The 19,675-nt window shown below is 48.8% G+C and overlaps 1 protein-coding gene across 7 annotated transcripts in view, besides 5 other annotated features; it reads left to right on the top strand.

The window, feature by feature from the left end:
• The window catches only part of AGO2 (argonaute RISC catalytic component 2), a 122,158-nt gene that overhangs the window by 47,161 nt on the left and 55,322 nt on the right, over positions 1 to 19,675 (top strand). For 6 of the 7 annotated variants that reach the window (XM_011516968.3, NM_001164623.3, NM_012154.5 and 3 more), the window contains one exon: positions 9,842 to 10,034. In XM_011516968.3, the coding sequence (XP_011515270.3) occupies positions 9,958 to 10,034 (77 nt within the window). In that variant the 5' untranslated portion in view covers positions 9,842 to 9,957. Of the gene's footprint in view, positions 1 to 3,718; positions 6,432 to 9,841; positions 10,035 to 19,675 lie in introns of those variants that run through there. The other variant, XM_047421696.1, reaches the window with a different exon arrangement.
• Positions 1,178 to 1,678: an enhancer, noted in NCBI's record as "H3K4me1 hESC enhancer chr8:141603574-141604074 (GRCh37/hg19 assembly coordinates)". NCBI's record gives its function as "activates a minimal SCP1, AML or CMV promoter by ChIP-STARR-seq in naive H9 embryonic stem cells {active_cell/tissue: H9 hESC(naive)}" and the evidence as "EXISTENCE:reporter gene assay evidence [ECO:0000049][PMID:30033119]".
• Positions 1,332 to 1,381: an enhancer, noted in NCBI's record as "active region_28033". NCBI's record gives its function as "activates an Ori minimal core promoter by ATAC-STARR-seq in GM12878 lymphoblastoid cells {active_cell/tissue: GM12878}" and the evidence as "EXISTENCE:reporter gene assay evidence [ECO:0000049][PMID:35858748]".
• Positions 3,862 to 4,001: an enhancer, noted in NCBI's record as "active region_28032". NCBI's record gives its function as "activates an Ori minimal core promoter by ATAC-STARR-seq in GM12878 lymphoblastoid cells {active_cell/tissue: GM12878}" and the evidence as "EXISTENCE:reporter gene assay evidence [ECO:0000049][PMID:35858748]".
• Positions 5,933 to 6,162: an enhancer, noted in NCBI's record as "active region_28031". NCBI's record gives its function as "activates an Ori minimal core promoter by ATAC-STARR-seq in GM12878 lymphoblastoid cells {active_cell/tissue: GM12878}" and the evidence as "EXISTENCE:reporter gene assay evidence [ECO:0000049][PMID:35858748]".
• Positions 15,415 to 15,514: an enhancer, noted in NCBI's record as "active region_28030". NCBI's record gives its function as "activates an Ori minimal core promoter by ATAC-STARR-seq in GM12878 lymphoblastoid cells {active_cell/tissue: GM12878}" and the evidence as "EXISTENCE:reporter gene assay evidence [ECO:0000049][PMID:35858748]".

The raw sequence follows: 19,675 nt of genomic DNA, 5'->3' as shown, positions 1-19,675 counted from the left end.
AGTCTTTTCGTGTGTAGACGCCTGGGTATTTCCTTAGGACAAATGCCTAGGTGTTGAGTTACCAGATCAAAAGGCTTGTAATTTTAAAAGCCTTCTGAAACAAGCTTGAAATCTCCCCACATGGATGGGAGTGGCCATTTTTTCTCATGCACTATCCAGTCATATCCCTCACCATTTCCTGTTGGAGTTTTTGATTTCATTAGTTTATATAAACTCTGTATATGTACGTTTATACCTTTAGGTTTGTGTATTTATGATGTCATAAAAATTTCCCAGTTTGTCATGCAATTAGAGAAATACACACACACACACACACACACACACACAGTTTTTTTCTTTCCGTCGAGACGGGTTCTCACTGTGTCAGCCAGGCTGGAGGGCAGAGGTGTGATCTCGGATCACTGCAGCCTTGACCTCCCCAGGCTCAAGTGATCCTCCCATCTCAGCACCCCCGAGTAGCTGGGACTACAGAGGCATGCCACCATGACTGGCTAATTTTCTATTTATTTTTATTTTTTATTTTTTTTTGTACAGATGGGATTTTGCCATGTTTCCCAGGCTAGTCTCGAACTTGTGGCCTCAAGTGATCCACCTGCCCCGGCCTCCCAAAGTGCTGAGATTACAGGTGTTAGACACCACACCCAGCCAAAAATCATCCTTTTGCAACCTCTTTTTGGTTCTAAGAAAGAGGGCCGGGCACGGTGGCTCATGCCTGTAATCCCAGAAAGAGCATTCCCACCCCAAAACTATAAAAGGTTATTAAATTTTAAAATATTTCTGTGGATATTTTTGTTCCATTTAAAAATACTATCTATTTACAGTTTCTATTTGAAATTTATTTTGTAATAGGATGTGAGAGGGAGCTCACCTTATTTTTTTCCTTCAAATATTCAGAAAATTGTTCCGACTGAGTTATTTCTCTCCTGTCCCCTTAACTGGCAAGCCCCCTCCAGCCAACCCGAGTGCTGCCAGTGGCTTGCCTGCCCATTCAGGGAGATGGTGATGGTTTTCCTCCCTGCCCTCTTCTGAAGACGAGCGCCCTGAGAGCAGGAGTAGGAGGTGCTCAGGCAGTGTAGGGTGAGTGGCATCGTGCGTTGAGGTAGAGTTTAGGAAACCCTTAGTGCAGGGCTTGGCACCGGCAGACCTCACTGGTGGGCAGGTATTCCTGTGCTCGCAGATGGAACTGAGTGAACCTGGTGAGGATGGATTGTCACGCATTTGGTTCCTCCAGCTCCTTTTGTTTGATTTAAGCATAGTTGTTATCGATTCAAGGCAGCGTGGCTTGGTGGCAAGGCTTGTGTGCTCTGGTAGCCGTGAGTGCTGTGTGTGAATCCCAGCTCTGCCTGTCAGACACCTCGGACCACATCTGTAGGATGGGGATCCTGCCTGCCTTGCCCGTGGTAAGGATTAAAGGAGCTGATTTGCCTGAAGGGGTCTGCATTGTACCTGACACAATGGTGGTGGCCATTGCTTCTTCAATTATGGGAACTTATGTTAAAAAGGGAAGTAAACATTTTATGTAAATATTGAGAAAAGTACTAGGTATCTAGGATGAATCAGTTACTGTAAAAGGGCACAAAGTTTTTTTTTTTTTTTTTTTTTAACTTTCCTAGCTGCTTAGCACAGATACGAGGCATGAGGGTGGCAGATCAGTGTATGTCGGCCGGGCACAGTGGCTCACACCTGTAATCCCAGCACTTTGGGAGGCCGAGGCGGGTGGATCACCTGAGGTCAGGAGTTTGAGACCAGCCTGGCCAACATGGTGAAACCCCGTCCCTACTAAAAATACAAGCATTAGCTGGGTATGGTGATGCACGCCTGTAATCCCAGCTACTCGGGAGGCTGAGGTGGGAGAATCACTTGAACCCAGGAGGCAGAGGTTGCAGTGAGCTGAGATCACGCCACTGCACTCCAGCCTGGGCGGCAGCGAGACTCCATCTCAAAAAAAAAGTTTTGGTCTATTTTTATTGATACGTAATAGGTGTATATATTTTCAGGGAACATACATGTGTTAGGTAGGTCAGATTCTTGTATGTTTTGGGTGAAAAAAGGATTCAGTTTGGAGAACAAGACTCTTTCTGAAGTACAAGAGATGTCACATGGACCCTCATCAGGGCGGTCAGCTGATTTGATGGCTGATGTTGGTGGAGGGGCAAACTGGAAATCACAGTCCTAGCCCTGTGGTCTGCTGCCCAGGTGCCCTGGCTGTCACCTCACCCCATGGAGCTCCTGGCTCCTCAGCTGTGCAATGAAGACAAGTCCAAGAGCGAGGACATGAGAAGAGACAAGAATGTGCTGGAAGTCTTGTACTGGAGTAATGTTGATGCTGGAGAAATGTTGGCTTCTTAGTTGAAACAGGCTGGGTGCTGTGGTGCATGCCTGGAATCTCAGCACTTTGGGAGGCCAAGGCAGGAGGATCACTTGAGGCCAGGAGTTTGAGACCAGCCTGGGTGACATAGCAAGACCCCTGTCTCTACTAAAAAGGATAAAATATAAAATAAACAAACAAACAGTAAAGACTATTTGTAAAAGGTAGAGTAATAGCCTTCCTATGGATACCTTATGGTTTTGTCCTAAAAACACTTGGGATTGAGTCATAAACCCATAAGGCATTTTTACTAAGAGTTGGTGTAACAAGAAGATATTCTTTTATTCATCTGTGTATTCATTCAGTCAACAGTTGCACAAAAACAGACACAGTCCTTGCTATATTGCAGTGCCTACATTCTAGTGGGAGAGGCAGATACAGAGTCGGAATCACAAAAGAAATCTAGAGTTGAAACCAGAAAAGGCTGTAGAGAAGAGTCAGAGAAATGTACGCATAAGGCATTCTTCATGTCTCCACTGAGAGGTGTCAGGCTTCGAGCAGCCCTGGACCAGCGTGCGGGTCTGTCTTGGTAGGGCCGGTGGTTGAGATGCTGTGGTCTCATCAGTTGCCCCGATTGGGGAATGTTTCTGTAGGAGATAACTTACATTTTACCAGTATTCCTTTAATTCCTCTTTGTCTTTATTATAGTATTTTTTTTTTTTTTGAGACAGAGTTTTGCTCTTGTTGCTCAGGCAGGAGTACAAGGGTGCGATCTCAGTTCACTGCAACCTTCACCTCCCGGGTTCAAGTGATTCTCCTGCCTCAGCCTCCCAAATAGCTGGGACTGCAGGTGCCTGCCACCATGCCTGGCTAATTTTTGTATTTTTAGTAGAGATGAGGTTTCACCATGTTGGTCAGGTTGGCCTTGAACTCCTGACCTCAGGTGATCCACCTGCCTCAGCCTCCCAAAGTGCTGAGATTACAGGCTTGAGCCACTGTGCCTGGCCTTATTACAGTATTTCTAATATTGTTCAGTAAAGACAGATGGTGGATCAAAGAGGATGTTTTTGACTTGTGAGGAAAAATGTATTCATAATTTATGGGGAAAAGTTTTCTTCGTAAAGATCACAGGGGTGGCTTTCAGGACCATTTCTCAAAGAGATAATGGTGGTTGCAGTTTCAGGTTGAACCACAAACATTTATTTTAAAAAACCCCAACAGGAAATTCCGTGTTGATGGTTAGTCATCTGCGGGAGCTTAGGTGTTTGTTTATAGTCAGTCCTAGACTGTACGGGTGTGTCATGCTCTTCCTGTGCACGCTGTATTGCTCACTAAAATAAGGTTAACATATTTTCAGGCTATTACTCATTAAACCAAAAGAGGGGAGCAAGTGGTTTAGGGATGATCATCAGTCTGATCTGGAGGCGCAGGCTGCCTGTGTCGGCCTCAGCGCAGCGTTCCAGTCTTCCCTGGGGGAGTTCTCCCTGCTGTCCTTGCCCAGCACCTTCTACAGCCCCTGCCTTTGGGGTGACTGCTCCCCTGCTCACGTTGCCTCCCATGGCCCATTCTTTTGGTGTTGCCAAGAACCAGGCTGAGACAGGTTGGAAATGCTCCAATAATTTCTACTCAGGGAGAACAGAAACGAAAGCCTTCCAGGAACCGCGCCTGCAGAACACAGAAGTGCTCAACAGAAGTGCGAAGATGCTGCTGAGGACAGCTCCGCTGCCCCCGCTGTGAGGACTGCCCCCACCCGGGGCTGCACCCAGAGCTGCACCCAGAGCTTCCTTCCCTCCTTCATTCCGACCCAGCCTTCCCATGGGCCCAAGGGAGTGAAGGCAAAAGCTCCTTCTCAGCGTGTGGATGCAGCCAGGGAGCAGTGGTGGATGGCTACATCCTGTGTCCCCATGCCCACAGGAGGAGGGGTAGGGGCCATTTCCTAAGCTGGGACCCATGAGGTCCTGAGGCTGCAGCAGGATCTGTCCCCAGGGCAAAGGGGCCCTAGGGCTCTGGTTGATGGCCAGCATTCCCCAGAACGTATTCTCTGAGCCTGTGCACCAGCTCCCCGTTGCCACACTGAGACCCCCTTGGTGGCATCAGCTGGCTCCTGAGACGATGCCCCTGGTTCCGAGGAGCACTGATGCAGTGGCTCCTGCTCAGGGCTGGAGGGTGCACTCTTCCTTCCTGATGCAGAGCTCTGGCTAGAGGCAGGAGCAGCCTCCCCTGTGGAGGTGGGTGACCGGTGGCCAGCGAGGTGGGTTCTGTTGACTCCCTTCCACCGTGGGGCATGTTTGTGCCTCCGCTTCCTCGGCGTCTGTTTTCGGACAGGTTTTGTGGCCAGAAACCTGGGACCCCCATCTGTGCCTCTGCTTCCTTGGTATCCGTATTTGGATGGGTTCTGTGGCCAGGGACCTGGGACCCCCATCTGTGCCTCCGCTTCCTCGGCGTCCGTGTTTGGGCAGCTTCTGTGGCCAGGGACCTGGGACCCCCAAAGTGCGAGGGTTCCTTTTCCTCCCCGTCTTGTCACATTTGACTTTTGGTGTGTCCTCACAGATCTGGGGGGCTCCAGAGCCCCTGTCGAGGTCAGTTTGCCCCAGTTTGGGAGTCAGACCGGGGGGAGGGGGTAGAACGCATCAGCTGGGGACCCAGCTCCAGCCATCCCTGCACAGCTGTGACGCCTGGGCCAGACGCGTCTCTGTGAACGTGGGCTGGGTGAGGCTTTGACTTCGGCTCACCGTGGGCTCATTGGTGGCCCGGGCCTGGCATGGGAGACAGCATACAGTTGTCTGCACTCCGGCTGACAGGAGCAGATGTTCCGACTGCATTCCCAGCACACATTCTGAGACCGTCTCTGTCCATTTCACCAAAAAAGCTGCCATGACTGTGTTTAGCGTCAACTTGGGTGGCCATAAGGGAGGCTTGCTTGTGTAGACAACAGGTGAGTTGTCACCCTCGTGTCCTGATTTTAGCAGGAGAGTACAGCTTGATAGCATCTACTCTCTGGTCTGTACTCACTGAGCCATCACTCCGTCCTGTTCTGCGGCTCGTGCTGATGGCACGGATCTCGGTGGCTGCTGTGCCATTGCCTGGCCAGGGCATCCTGTCCTGGCATCACAGAGACCATATCTGCACCTGGCTTGGCCCAGGGTATGGCACAGAAGTGTTTAGCAGCCCTGAGCTATCCTTCTCACTTTCTTTGGCCTGCACGTTTTCTGGCTGATGCCCAGTGTAATGAATGCAGAGTTCTAGGAGGACCATCGGGAAGCATGGCTTTGAATAATGACTCACTTTGGAGCTCTGGAAACAGCTTTGCATGTCATTTGGGTGGCAGATGTTTAACCGTTTACATCCCCTGATTCATGGGTGCTGAGCACTGGGCCGGCTTCCTAGGAGACAGCCCTGGGCCCCTGTGCCAGCCTCACAGCGAGGCTGCCACCCAAGCTCAGGTGGCAGCTGCGCAGCCTATGGGTGCTGACCCGGGCCTGTGGTTCACCCGCCGGTAGCCAAAGCGGCTTCACGGAAGAGCTGGGCTATTCATTTATTTAATGACTCTGAATTTCTGCAGCTGCTCTCCCCGCCTCAGGGTACACGTCTGCGGGGAATCCTGGCAGGCCTGCACTTTATTCTTCATGCACCAACTTTCCCCCATCCCTGTCCCTTACTTAGATGGCCCTCAGGGCAGGTGGCACAGAGTCTGCTCCACATCCCTCCCTGAAAAGTCGGGGAGGAGCCAACTCCGAAAGGAGTTTCTTCAGGGGACCGCCTGCTCCTGCAGGAGGCTCGCCTGCCGCCCACCTCTGCTGACGTCCGCTGTGTATACTGAAATTTTTTGTTCCCTGTGACCCAGTTGCTCACACAGGAAGCCGATTACTCATTCACTATTTTTCCCTTTCACTGTGTGAGATGCGGCTCTAAAAATGGAATCTTAAACAAATGTGCTGAGTGATGCCGATTCAGTGAACACGGCACGGCTGTGTACATGACGCTGCGCTGGGTTCCGGGCCTTGCCCTCCGAACTCGCTCTCTAAGGAATGGGTATGGCCTTAAGTGCAGAGGGCCCGCCAGCCCTGGGCCCCGGGGAGCCATCGCCCCTCCCAGGAGCAGCTGAGGTCCCTTCCAACCACAGGTACACCTTACTTTATTGCCCTGCACAAAGAATGTATGCTTTTTTCCTTCCTTCCTTCCCTCCCTCCCTCCTTTCCTCCTTCCTTCCCTTCCTCCTTTCCTCCCTCCCTCCCTCCCTCCCTCTCTCCCTGCCTCCCTTCTTTACTCCCTCCCTCCTTCCCTCACAAATGGAATGTTTGTAGTAGCCTGAGGAACTCTTTTGGCGCCATTCTTCCAGTAACATGTGCTCACTTAGTGTCTCTGTCAGCATTTTTTAAGCAATAAAGTATTTTTAAATTAAGATATGTACATTATTTACACACTGCTATTACACACTTGGTAGACTACAGTATAGTGCAAACAACTTTTGTATGCACTGGGACACCAAAGCATTGGTGTGACCTGCTTTATTGTGGCAATCTGGAACCGAGCCTGCAGTGTGACTGAGGTGCGCTGTGCTAGAATCCTGGGATTCCTGAATGAAAGGATTTGCCTTTCTGTTCCCAAAGGTTTCAACCTTCAATGCAGAGACAAGACTAACACTTATGGAAGCAACTGAAAGCCCATTTAAAGCCCATTTAAAATAAGACTGGGTAGGACATGTGGCAGGGCGTGCCACCTGTGGCCTGGGGAGGAGGTGCCCATGGGGTGTCTGGAGAGAGCGTCCACGGAGAGGTGGAACCTCGATTACTCCTTGGAGCATCCTTGGAGGATGGAGGAGATGGGGGAGGATGGCTGCTTCCAGTGGGCCTGGAAGTAGTGGGGAGGTGAGGTCGAGTCTTGGATGCAGGCCAGGGATTTGGGACTCGGCTGTTGGACAGGCAGTGGGAGCCAGGACCTGCTCCGTGAATGCCAGTGTGGTGGCATCTTCTTGGTGAAGGCATCCCAGATGTCTCCTCCTTGTGGGCTTTCGTTTCTTTAACAGAGAGCACATGGAGAGCGCATCCCTAGGTGGTGTTAGAATTCCCTTTTGGAACCATCCGTGTCAAATGTGACAAGTGCGTATGTGGCCCATCCGTGTCTTGTGGCCTCTTGTACATGTGGTCCACACCTTGGTGCATTATTCACCTGTCGGGGCCAGGGGCTCACAGCCCAGGGTGGGCATCCAGTGCCCTTCTTGTCATCCCCATCTTCCTCGTGCATGGGGGTTGTGTCTGCACACTTCTGCTCTGTCTCCTCTTGCACGCTTTGGCTTTGATCCTCCAGCTTGTATCTGCAGCTTACACGTGGGACTCCCTGTGAGTGATCAGAGTGGATTTCAGGCACCCCAAGGTCTAAGGCCTGCAGAGGCGTCCTTGGCAGTGGAGTTGCCTTCCTGAAGGTACGGGAAGGTGGACCTTCCCTGGCCCCTCTGCCTGGAAAACTTTTACATCTTTAACTTGTAATTTTATATTCCACGTGCCTTCACGTGAAGTATCAGTATTTTCATTATTGAAAGCTAGAAGCAAGAAAGAACTATCTTAGGAAATTGCATGTTTTATGAATTACCGCTGTGTTTTCCCATTGCCTTTATTCACAGGGGTTAGTACCAGGCTGCGTGCAGGTTTCCCGCCTCCCATGCCAGGTGTTGCAGAGGAGGTAGTCTCGGGGAAGGCTTCTTAGGAGAAATAGGGTCAGCCTGAGCCCTGGGCTCGAGCTGCGTCTGTGCCTGGACTCTGCTTGGGGGCCCGGTGGAGGGGCCTGGTTTGGAGCCGGCCCAGCAGCTTTGCTTCACCTGCAAGTAGCTCGTGTTCCAGCCCAAAACCTTCTTGCAGCCAGCGGTGTGCCCCTTTGTGGTATGGTTGTGAGGCTCGGTTAAGTAACTGCATGAGCACCTTGTAAGCTGGGAGTCACCGAAGGACAGTGACTCTCCTCCCCGAGAGGAGCGTGCCCGACCCTGAAATCGAGATTGGCCACAGGGCCAGATTCCCGGGCTCTGTCCTAGACGTTTCCTGGGAGCCGTCTCACTGGGTGGTTGGAGCCACCTGAGAACAGGGCCACGTGTTGGCAAGTGCTTTGTTCTACTCCGGTGTGGCGTAGAGAGAAGCTCAGTCGGTCCTCAGGGGAGTGGCTGTCTCCACTGAACCCACCTGGACTGTGATGTCCACTCCCTGTCACGGTCAGGGTCCTTGCTGGGAAGGATCTTGGTGAGCTGCTGAGCTTATGAAAAGTCATCAGACGTCATCCTGTGGATGACTGACACCTGGAAACTGTCCCTGGTGGCAGCATGGGTGCTGCTTGAGGACTCAGTTTGTTTGTTTGTTTTGTTTATTTATTTAGAGATGGAGTCTCGCTCTGTCACCCAGGCTGGAGTGCAGTGGCATGATCTCGGCTCACTGCAACCTCCGCGTTCAAGCGGTTCTCCTGCCTCAGCCTCCTGAGTAGCTGGGACTACAGGCACGTGCCACCACATCCAGATAATTTTTGTATTTTTAGTAGAGATAGGGTTTCACCATGTTGGCCAGGCTGGTCTCAAACTCCTGACCTCAGGTAATCTACCCGCCTCAGCCTCCCAAAGTGCTGGGATTATAGGTGTGAGCCACTGCACCCAGCCTGACTTTATTTTTGTAGCCTTGGCCCAGGGCATGGTGCCCAGCCCACAGGGGCACCCGCTGAGTGCCATTGAAGGGTGGAGTGTCATGGAAGTCTGTAGATGTGTCATCTATGAAGTCATGGCGACTTGGTGGAAGGCCATGCTGCCATAACCATTTCCAAATGGTGTAACTCAGTGAGTTTAATAACCTTGAAAGCATGTTAGTTTTCTCATAGGAAACAAACAAACAAAAAAGCAAATAATTCAAGGAGTCTCTGAGTTTTTCTAGGTCAGAAATACAGTAAGAACAGCTCATATTATTTTTAGTAGAGTTCTTTTTCTTTCCAGTGAATGTCAATAGGGATTGAAGTACATGTGATTTTTTTTAAATGGAGAAGGGTTGTCTTTTTTTTAAACAGACATTTGAGTGAAAATTGAAAGCGTTCTATTATTGAAAAATGTTTATTTTTCTAAATCTACATTTTGAACTTTACTAATATGGAGCCACTGAAAACTTGAGTTGGGATGAAGTTTCTGCCGCTTATGCATAGTAAAAAGCGCTTCCTGAGTAAACGAGCGGTTTAAGCAGCAGCAAGGGAGGGGCACCGCCTTGACACTTTTGGGCTCTTTGCCTTGTCTCCCGTGCTAGTAATTCATGCTGCCTCATCTCTCCAGTGTCTGAGACAGGAAGAAAGAACAGGAATGGACATAGCAAGTTTGATCACCAATGAGTTGTTATGATACATTTTAAGTACATTATTGGCTTGACGTTGAGACGCCTCCTCTGTGGAATGCAATATTGGCCTGGACGTGAATGGAAACAGCAGAGGGGGGCATATAGTGGCTTGGGGCCGCGGGATGGGAAGGGCCGCAGAGCAAGCCTGCTCCCCCGTTAATGGGTGTTCTCTCTGCCATTCCAGCACTTGCACCTCCTGCGCCGCCGCCCCCCATCCAAGGATATGCCTTCAAGCCTCCACCTAGACCCGACTTTGGGACCTCCGGGAGAACAATCAAATTACAGGCCAATTTCTTCGAAATGGACATCCCCAAAATTGACATCTATCATTATGAATTGGATATCAAGCCAGAGAAGTGCCCGAGGAGAGTTAACAGGTATTACGTTTCATCCTTCATGACCTGTGTAAGTGGTCTGCGCGGACAGACACGGCATTTAAACTAATCAACTCTGAAATTCTCAGCAGATCCATCTGGGTTTTTTCCAGAACGTTTCAGCTGCATTTGCTTTTCAAAAACAGTTTTTCAGAGTCAAACCTACGGATTGAAAAAAATATATATATAAATATATACCAAGTTTTTGTATTGAGACACAGTTTCAGGATAGTGAAATACATACATCGTAAATGCACAACTGGAAGAATTTCGACAAATGTATATACTGATCACCCTAGAAAGTTGCCTCATACCCTCTTCCGGTTACCCCCAGCCCCTAAAGTCACGGCATTCTGATGTGTGTCACATAGATTAGTTTCCAGGTCTGTATAGTGACACACCCTCAATCCCGACTGCTTTTACTCAGCAGAATTTATGAGACCCACCTGCGCCGTTGTGTGTATTTGTAGCTTATTTTTATTGCTAAATACTCTATTGCCTATTTCGTAGTCTGTTTTTCATCTTCCTTTTAAACACATGGGCAGTCTAGGCTGTGGCCATTATGAATAAGACTGCTGTGAACGTTCTTGTTGAAGTTCTTTTTGTGGAGGTGTTTTCGTCTCTCTTAAATAAATACCTAGGAGTAGAATTGCTGGGCCGAAGGGCAGCTGTGTGTTTAGCTGCATGTGAACCTGCCAAATAAATGGTGTTCCCATGCTCCCATCACGTTTTCCTCCCGTCAGCTCCGCTGAGTGTTTCCAAGGCCACCCACCCCCACCAGCACGCGGTGTGGTCAGGCGTGTTTTTTTGTGTGTTTCGGTGGGTGAGTAGTGGTTTCTCATTGTGGTTAATTTTCATTTCTCTGGTACCTGATGAGCTGAGCATCTTTCCATGTGTTTATATATTATTTTCATCGATTAAGTGATATATTATTTCCAGCAAAGTGTTGAAGTATTTTGCCTGTTTTGTTTTTTTTTTTTTTTTTACTGAGTTTCTTGTCTTTTTGTTATTGATCCGTGAGAGTTTTTAGTATATTCTAGATGTACATTGCATTTGTAAGCATCCTCCGGAGCGACAGAACCAATAGGATAGAGATACAGTCATGTACCGCATGACAACGTTTGGCCAGTGACAGACACATATACCACCGTGGTCCCAAAAGATTGTAAGGGAGCTGAAATCATAGCCCACGTAACGTAGTAGAGCAATGCGCTACCCTTTCTGAGTTTAGATTTTTTTATTTTTTCTTTTGAGATGGAGTCTTGCTCTGTCACCCTGGAGTCCAGTGGCATGAACTCAGTTCACTGTAGTCTCCACCTCCTGGGTTCAAGTGATTCTCCTGCCTCATCCTCCCAAGTAGCTGGGATTACAGGCACCTGCCACCACACCTGGCTAATTTTTTGTATTTTTAGTAGAGACAGGATTTCACCATATTGGCCAGGCTACTCTTGAACTCCTGACCTCAAGTGATCTGCCTGCTTCAGCCTCTCAGAGTGCTGGGATTACAGGCATGAGCCACTGGGCCCGACCTAGGTATATGTAGATGTACACATCCTTACCATGGTGTTACAATTGCCTGCCGTGTTCAGCAGTCGTGTGCTGTACAGGTTTGTGGCCTAGGTGTGTGGTAGACTCTACCTCCTGGGTATATGTAAATATACTCTATGATGTTCACACTGCAATGAAATTGCCTGAGTGAATTTCTCAGGCCATATCCCCATGGTTAAGCCACGCATGACTGTACATATATCTATAGATATGAGAGGGGATTTATTAGGGGAATTGGCTCACATGATTGTAGAGGCTAAGATGTCCCACAGCAGGCCATTTACAAGCTGGAGACCCTGGAGTGTCAGTAGCGGGGCTCAGGCCAAGTCTGAAAGCCTTATAATCAGGGAAGCCAAAGACCTGGAACCCACAGGGCTGCTGCTATAAGTCCTAGAGCCCAAAGGCCAAGGGAGCCTGAAGTTCTGATGTCCGAGGCAGGAGGAAGACAGTGCCCCAGCCCCAGGAGGGAGAGAAGAAATCACTCTTTCTCTCCTTTTTTTCTGTCTGTGTCCCCAGCTGATTGGATGGCACTACCCACACTGGGGGCAGATCCCCACCTGGTCCCTGACTAACACGCAGTCTCCTCTGGAAGCAGCCACACAGACATGCCCAGAAGTCAAGCTTTACCAGTTCTCTGGATTATTCTTTAATCTAGACACATTGGCACCTAAAAATCAGCATCATACAAGTCTATACTGGGAATATTTTCTCCTAGTCCAAAGTTTGTCATCTCACCTTCCTGTTGGTGTCTTTCTTTTAATGAGTAGAACTTTTTAGTTTTGTTGAAGTCCAATTTATAAATTTTTAAAAATAGCTGTTACATAGTGTATTCTCTCTAGGAAATTTTTGCCTACCTAGGGATCATAAAGATATTCTCCTGTTTTTATTTTAGAATTATAGTTTTTGCTTGCATATTTAGTCCACGATCCATCTTGAATTAATTTTTATGTATGTTGTGAGGTAAGGGTCTGTTGAAAATACTTTTCTTTCCCCACTGATTTACCTGTTGACCTTTAAAAAAAATAATTTGATTGTACAGGTTGAGTATCCCTTACTGAAAATGCTTAGGACTAGAAGTGTTTCAAGTTTTCATTTATTTATTTATTTATTTGAATTTTGGAATATTTCCGTTACGCTTACCAGTTGAGCATTGCAGATCTGAAAACCTGACACCCAAAATGCTCCAATGAGCATTTCCTTTGAGCGTCATGTTGGTGCTCATAAAGTTTCAGATTTTGGAGCATTTTGGATTTGGGGTTTTCAGATTAGGGGTGCTCAACCTGTATATGTGGGTGGATCTATTTCTGGATTCTCTTCTGTGTTGTCTTTAGGCCAGGAACTCTTGGTCATTTTAACTATAGTTAAGTGGTAAGGCTTGAAATCCGATTAAATAATTCCTCCAAATTTGTTGTTCTTTACAATTGTTTTAGCTATTCTAGATCTATTGCTTTTCCAAGTATATAGAATAATAAATATAAATAACTTATCAATTTCTGCTAGAAAGCCCCTTTGAATTTTTTATTGTGGTCACTATGAATCTAAAGTATGCTATGTTCTTGGATGCTATTATAAATGGTTGTGTAAATTTTTCTTTTCCTGGAATGGTGGGGAGTGACTGCTGTTGAGTATAGTGTTGATTTTGGGGGTGGTAAAAATGTTCTAAGCCATGGTGATGGTTGCAGAACTCTGAATATGCTAAGAGAGAGAATGTCTGGGGACTTAGTTCTCATATCTGTAAAACTAAACAGTTGGATTCACTCAACATGTCCAGAGTATGTTGAGAGTTCTATGAGGTTCTTTAAATATGCACTTACTAAAACCATGTATTTCTGAACAAAAACTATGTGCACCACTGGGTTAAGCAGCTTTCTTTACTAAAGGTCTTCCTAGATCTTTTAGTATATCTCACTGCTGTGTGGCTCTCCATCAGTGGGACTGCTGGTTTGTTTTTGCGTTTCCCTGGGATAGAACCCTGTGTGAATCTGTGATTTAGGGGGTACTCCTAGAACCAGAATGAGAGCATAAAGCAGTATACACATTTCCTTTTTTTTTTTAGAGACAGGATCTTGCTCTGTTGCCCAGGTTGGAGTGCAGTGGCATGATCTGGGCTCACTGCAACCTTCACCTCCTGGGTTCAAGCGATTCTCGTGCCTCAGCTACCCGTCCGGAGTAGCTGGGATTGCAGGCATGCGCCACCACACCCGGCTAATTTTGCATTTTTAGTAGAGACTGGGTTTCACCATGTTGCTCAGGCTGGTCTCAAACTCCTGGCGTCTTGTGATCTGCCTGCCTTGGCCTCTCAAAGTGCTAGAATTACAGGCGTGAGCCTGTTTAGTAGAGACAGGGTTTCACCATGTTGCCCAGGCTGGTCTCAAACTCCTGGCCTCAAGCAGTCTGCTCACCTTGGCCTCCCAAAGTGCTGGGATTACAGGTGTGAGCCACTGTGCCTGGCCCACATTTTCTGGGCTGTTGACTGGTGCGGTAGCAGGGGGGCCCTTAGGCCATCGACCACAGTACACAAGCAGCTTTCTTTTACGAAACTAGGCATGGCCAAGGCTTCGTTATCTGACACCAGAAAGAAGCTGAGGGTGATGAGAACGTGATGTCTTTCCAGGACTGTGCTACTACACTCCTGTGGTTTCGCCTGCCAGGCTCAGGTCACGCAGTTGGTAAGCAGCAAATGCAGGGCAAGAGCTGCATGCACAGGGCCAAGGCCAACCTGCTAGGCTATGAGCAAGCTTGAGAGTGGCTGCCTAGACGGAGGAACCTTTAGGCCCTATCTCAAAATTATAATCAATCAAAACAGCATAGGAAAATGTCAGAAGTAAAATGTTTGTGCTCACAAGACCTGTGTGGGAGCCCTGGCCTACCTCCTGCCTCCTCCCATGACCCACCTTCCTGAGACCCCCCGCTCACACATCAGTTGCAGTGCCCTGGGGGTGCAGTGGTGGCTGAGGCAGACATGGCTCCTGTCCCCAGTGGGGAGGTGGATGGTGCTCATGGTCAGCGCCGCTGGAGGGGAGCTCCGAGTGGAAAGGGAGACGAAGGTGGGGCCCTGAGCCCATCATGAGTCTGGGCTCCTCCGTCGTGCTGCTCAGCATCTCCTTCCCATTTCTCTTACCACACTGCAGCCTCTGTGAGAGCAAGGATGGCGTCTTAGTCGTGAGTTCCCAAAACCTTGTACAATGCCCCGGGTAGATGTTTAATGAGTCCAACACAGAGGCTTTATCCAAGGCCATGAGAAAAATGCCCTTGCACCTCAGTTACCTCTGTGACATTCTGACAACTACACAGTGAAGCAGCCTCAGTGCCCTCAGGCCCTGCAGTATAGTCCACCCCTTTCCCGGGGCTGCCGGGGTGGGGTTTGGTGCAAGCAAGACCCTTCCTCCCAGGAGCGTCCCGTACAGCTGTGGGCACCAAGGTGGCTGCACAACACAGCCAGTCTTGAGCCAGCCCCGAGAAAGAATGGGGGCAAGGCCCACACGACCTAAGCCTTGCTGAAGTCACGTGGGCCTTGCCCCCATGCTCTGTTCCGAGAAGCACGGGTGGGCTGCGAGGAGGAGGTGGGCTCCTCTCCCTTCCCCTGCCCCTCTTCCTCCTTGTTCGTCTTGAGCTCCGTCAAGTGGCCCCAGAAGAACCAGCAGATGCGATGGCCCTGTGCCTGTGGAGCAGGGGGCCAGGCAGCATGGCTGTGTCACACTCAGCCTTGCGCCTAGAGCTCTGTGACTCTGGGCATGAGCCACTCACGGGAATGCAGGTGGACCCTGCCTGTTTACAAGACAGTCTGGTGCGGGTATTGCAGGTATTAAAGCAGAAACATCGTGTACCCTCTGACCCACCCGTTCTCCTTCTCAGTCTCTATATCTCAAGGAGATGTATAGGATGACTACTCTGAAAAAAAAAAAAGAACAACAAAAGACACCATCTAAGTATCAGTAGGAAGTGGTGGGTTAGAGGAGTGCGCTGGGGCATGCAGTGTGGTGCTTAGCAGGAGTGGAATGGGGCTCCCAGGCTGACCTCCAAGCTCAGAAACACAGGCAACTAAGTAGCAAGTGGTTAGGTGGTAACACTAAGGCACATGATTACCGTGTCTGTAGTTCTAGACCTAGTGGCGACATTGTATACAGTTAGGAGGAAAGATCCCAAAGACACAGAGTAGGAAAATGGGCGCCTCAGAAGTGTGGGTTTGATACCATGTGTATAAAAATAATAAAACAATGTATTTCTGGATAGCTGTGTGTTTATGTGAAAGCATAGGTTTGAAAAGGATAAGGTTACTTCTTAGAATGGGGATTGAAATGAGTGGGTACTGTAAACAGACTTTTAGCTTTTTGTTTTTTTTTTTCTTTTTGAAACAGTGTCTCCCTCTGTTACCCAGGCTGGAGTGCAGTGACGCAGTGATGGCTCACTGCAACCTCAACCTCCCGAGGTCAAGCAATCCTTCCACCTCAGCCTCCCAAGTAGCTGGGACCACAGGCGCGCACCACCACACTCCACTAATTTTTAAATACGTTGTAGAGATGGGGTCTCTCTGTGTTGCCCAGGCTGGGACTTTTAGCTTTATCGTTATGTGAAACTTTTGGTGAGAATGTATTAAGGCAAAAGCTGTGTAATTAGAAATTAATGAAAGGATGACATTTGTAAAAGAGGGAACCTCTCAGAATTATGACAAAAGGGCAAACAGGCAAACGGGGCAGACACTTGCTTCTCGGCATTAGCAACACGCTCCGGCTTCTGCAAGGCGGCCCCGGCCCCGTGCGGGGTGCTGCTTGGCGCTGCCCTTTCCCTGGGTGGCGACTGAAGAGGGAGCTGTCCCCACTAAGAACTTGGCAGAACGAGCACTAACAGCTTGGCCGTGGTTCTCCTTTTCCTTCGTTTCAACATGGGTCACTCTCTTAGAGGCTGGGGCCCCACTGGTGGACGGAATGCATGCAAATGAACTCCTGGGCTGTCATCTTTTTTGGGAGGTCAAGGGCAAGCCTGAGACCTGGGTGGCCAGCAGAGCTGGCTCTGCAGAAGCAGGGACGCTTGCTCACTTTCCAGTGCCTGCGCCGGCTCGAAACGAAGGACCAGATTCAGGGACTCCGCGAGCAGGGTCCCCAGGTGGCTCCGTGGGCTGGCTGGGAAGTTAGTGCCTCACAGGTACAGTTTCACTTTGGGGAAGTGAAAATCATTTGTGGACAGAGGGTGGTGATGGTCGCACAACAGCATGGACACACTCAATGCCGCTGAACTGAACACTTAGTTGAAATGGTCAATTTTATGTTATCTGTATTTTATCACAGTTTTACAAAGAAAGAAAATTAACTGCCAAATACGTGGTCATGTGTGTTTGAGGAGGGAAGGGACCCCCCGTGTTAGAATTAGGCAGCAAGGTGCCATCCTGCTGCCACAGCCACGAGGTCCAGTTTCTCTGCTTTACACAAGATCGGCCCCTCCTCACCCTCGGCACTGGGCCCCGAGGCATGGGGGCTGCGAGCCGGTGGCCAGGGATGCTCTCTCTGGGCGGCGGAGGCCTGAGTGGTGGCCAGGATTGTCTGCCAGCCGACTCCACGGGTGTGCATTGTAGCCCCTCAGGGCACTGCCTCACTGGCATGACCGAACAGCCTCCTTCTCTTGAGAGATCCGCCCAGCCCAAGCCGCACGCCGTGCTGGGTGTGCAGGATGAGCTGGACCTGACCCCGCCTCCAGGGGCCTGCAGGACCGTCAGTGAGCGGAGTGATCATGCCGAGTGCTGGATGGGGCTCGGAACAGTGAATGTTCATCCAGAGGAGTGTCTCCAGTAGTGGGGCTCGGTTGTATTTCCTTGAATCCTGGGTGTGTGTGGTTGCCTGCCATAAGTCATTGAGAAGTGTGTCCTGCCCTCTGTCTCCTGCCACCCCCATCCCTGGGCCTGTTTCTGGGCTCTGGACTCTGGGCTCTGTCCCGAGCTCTCTGCCTGCCCCAGCGCCATGGCCTCCCTCCAGCTGCTCCTCCTCAAGAATACCTGCCAGCCTTTGTCCTCAGATTTCTACTTCTATTTTAGGATGAGTTTGTTAAATCCTATCAAATAAAAATACATCCCTCTCTGGATTTTTACTGAAATTACCTTTATGTAGGCCTATGATCTTTAAAAAAGGTATACACTCCTGTAAGAACCACCACAATCAATAGGACATGCTAACAACCCCAAAGCACCTGCCCCATTGCAGTTAAGTGTGTTGTCCCTTGCCCCAAGGCAAACACAGACCTGCATTCTGTCAGTGTAGATTGTTTTTGCCTGTCAAAGGGTTTCCTATACGTGGAATCATTATCATTGTATACCTGTTCCTCCTGGTGGCTGGCTTCGTTCCCCAGGCATGTTTCTTTTTTTTTTTTTTTTTTTTTGAGATGGAGTCTTGCTCTGTCGCCCAGGCTGGAGTGCAGTGATGTGATCTCGGCTCACTGCAAGCTCCGCCTCCCGGGTTCACGCCATTCTCGTGCCTCAGCCTCCCGAGTAGCTGGGACTACAGGTGCCCGCCACCACGTCCAGCTAATTTTTTGTATTTTTAAGTAGAGACAGGGTTTCATTGTGTTAGCCAGGGTGGTCTCGATCTCCTGATCTCGTGATCCACCTGCTTCGGCCTCCCAAAGTGTTGGGATTACAGGTGTGAGCCATCGCGCCTGGCCCGCCAAGCGTGTTTCTAAGACACCCGTCGTGTTGCGTGTAGCGGTGGATTCAAGTATTGCATTGTGCGGGTGTGGCATCATGGGTTTGTCCACTCATCAGCTGATGGACATTGATTTGAATTGTTTCCAGTCTGGAGCTGTTATACACATTTGTATGCAAATGTTTGCGTGGATGTGTGTTTTCATTTTTCTTGTGTCAGAAGTTGCTAGACAGGGTGGTAAATAGACACTGAAACCACACTTTTTCCCCAAAGCAGTTGCATCAGCCTCGTAGAAGAGAGCATTTCCCTCCGCCTTCACCAGCTCTTGGTATTGTTACCCTGTCTGATTTTAGCCTTTCTGCTGGATGTCTGTGGCTTCATTTCCATTTCCCTAAAGCCGAGTGATGAACACCCTTTGATGTGCTTACCCGCCATTTGTGTATCCTCTTCTGCCATGTGTCTGGTCAAATATTTTGCTCATTGAAGTTGGATTATCTTCTTACTGAGTTGTAAGAATTTTCCTAAATACATTATGCATACAAGTTCTTTGTTAGATGTGTGTCTTTGTGATTATGGAATATTTCCTCCCAGTTGATTGCTCATCTTTTTGTTTTTGTTTGTTTGTTTTTGAGATAGAGTCTCACTCTGTCATGCCCAGGCTGGAGTGCAGTGGCACAATCTCGGCTCACTGCAACCTCTGCCTCCTGGGTTCAAACGATTCTCCCGCCTCAGTCTCCCAAGTTGCTGGGATTACAGGTACCCACCACTACACCCAGCTAATTTTTTGTATTTTTAGTAGAGACGGGGTTTCACCATATTGGCCAGGCTGGTCTCAAACTCCTGATCCCAAGTGATCCGCCTGCCTCCCAAAGTGCTGAGATTATAGGCGTGAGCCACCGCGCCTGGCCTTGTCTTTTCATTTTTATAATGGTGCCTCTCTCTCTCTTTTTTTTAAGAGATGGGTGAAAGTTATTAATTTTAATGGAGCCTAGTTTATGAATTTTTCCTTTAGGGACATTTCTTAGAAATTTTTGTCTATCCCAAGTTTTAGGAACGTTTTTATCTTATGTTTTCTTCTAGGCATTTCTCAGTTATAGCTTTTAGGTTTATAACCTGTTTCATGTTAATTAATTTTATAATGTTAAATACAACCTTTTGTTTCTGGTATCGACTGAACTTTGACATGATGATTTATTTTTGAACATGTTGCTAGATTCAGCTTGTTAATGTCTTGTTCCTGCTTCTGTTTGTAAGTGATTGGCCCATGATTTCTTAGTACTCTTCCTGTCTGGTTTCAACCTAAAGGTTTTGCTAGCCTCATGAAATGAGTCAGGGTGTGTGCCATCTTACTCTGTTCAGGTCAGGTTTGAATTAGGCCAGAATGATTTGTTCTTTGAATGTGAGTAGAACCCACCTTCCCCTCCAATGGAGCCATCTGCACCTCAAGTTGATTGTGCAGTCCTGGCC

This window comes from Homo sapiens, chromosome 8 (assembly GCF_000001405.40).
Source record: "Homo sapiens chromosome 8, GRCh38.p14 Primary Assembly".
In the NCBI taxonomy this organism is placed as follows: Eukaryota; Metazoa; Chordata; class Mammalia; order Primates; family Hominidae; genus Homo; species Homo sapiens.
Note: the sequence above shows the minus strand (reverse complement) of the source record. Positions and strands in the feature narration are given on the sequence as shown.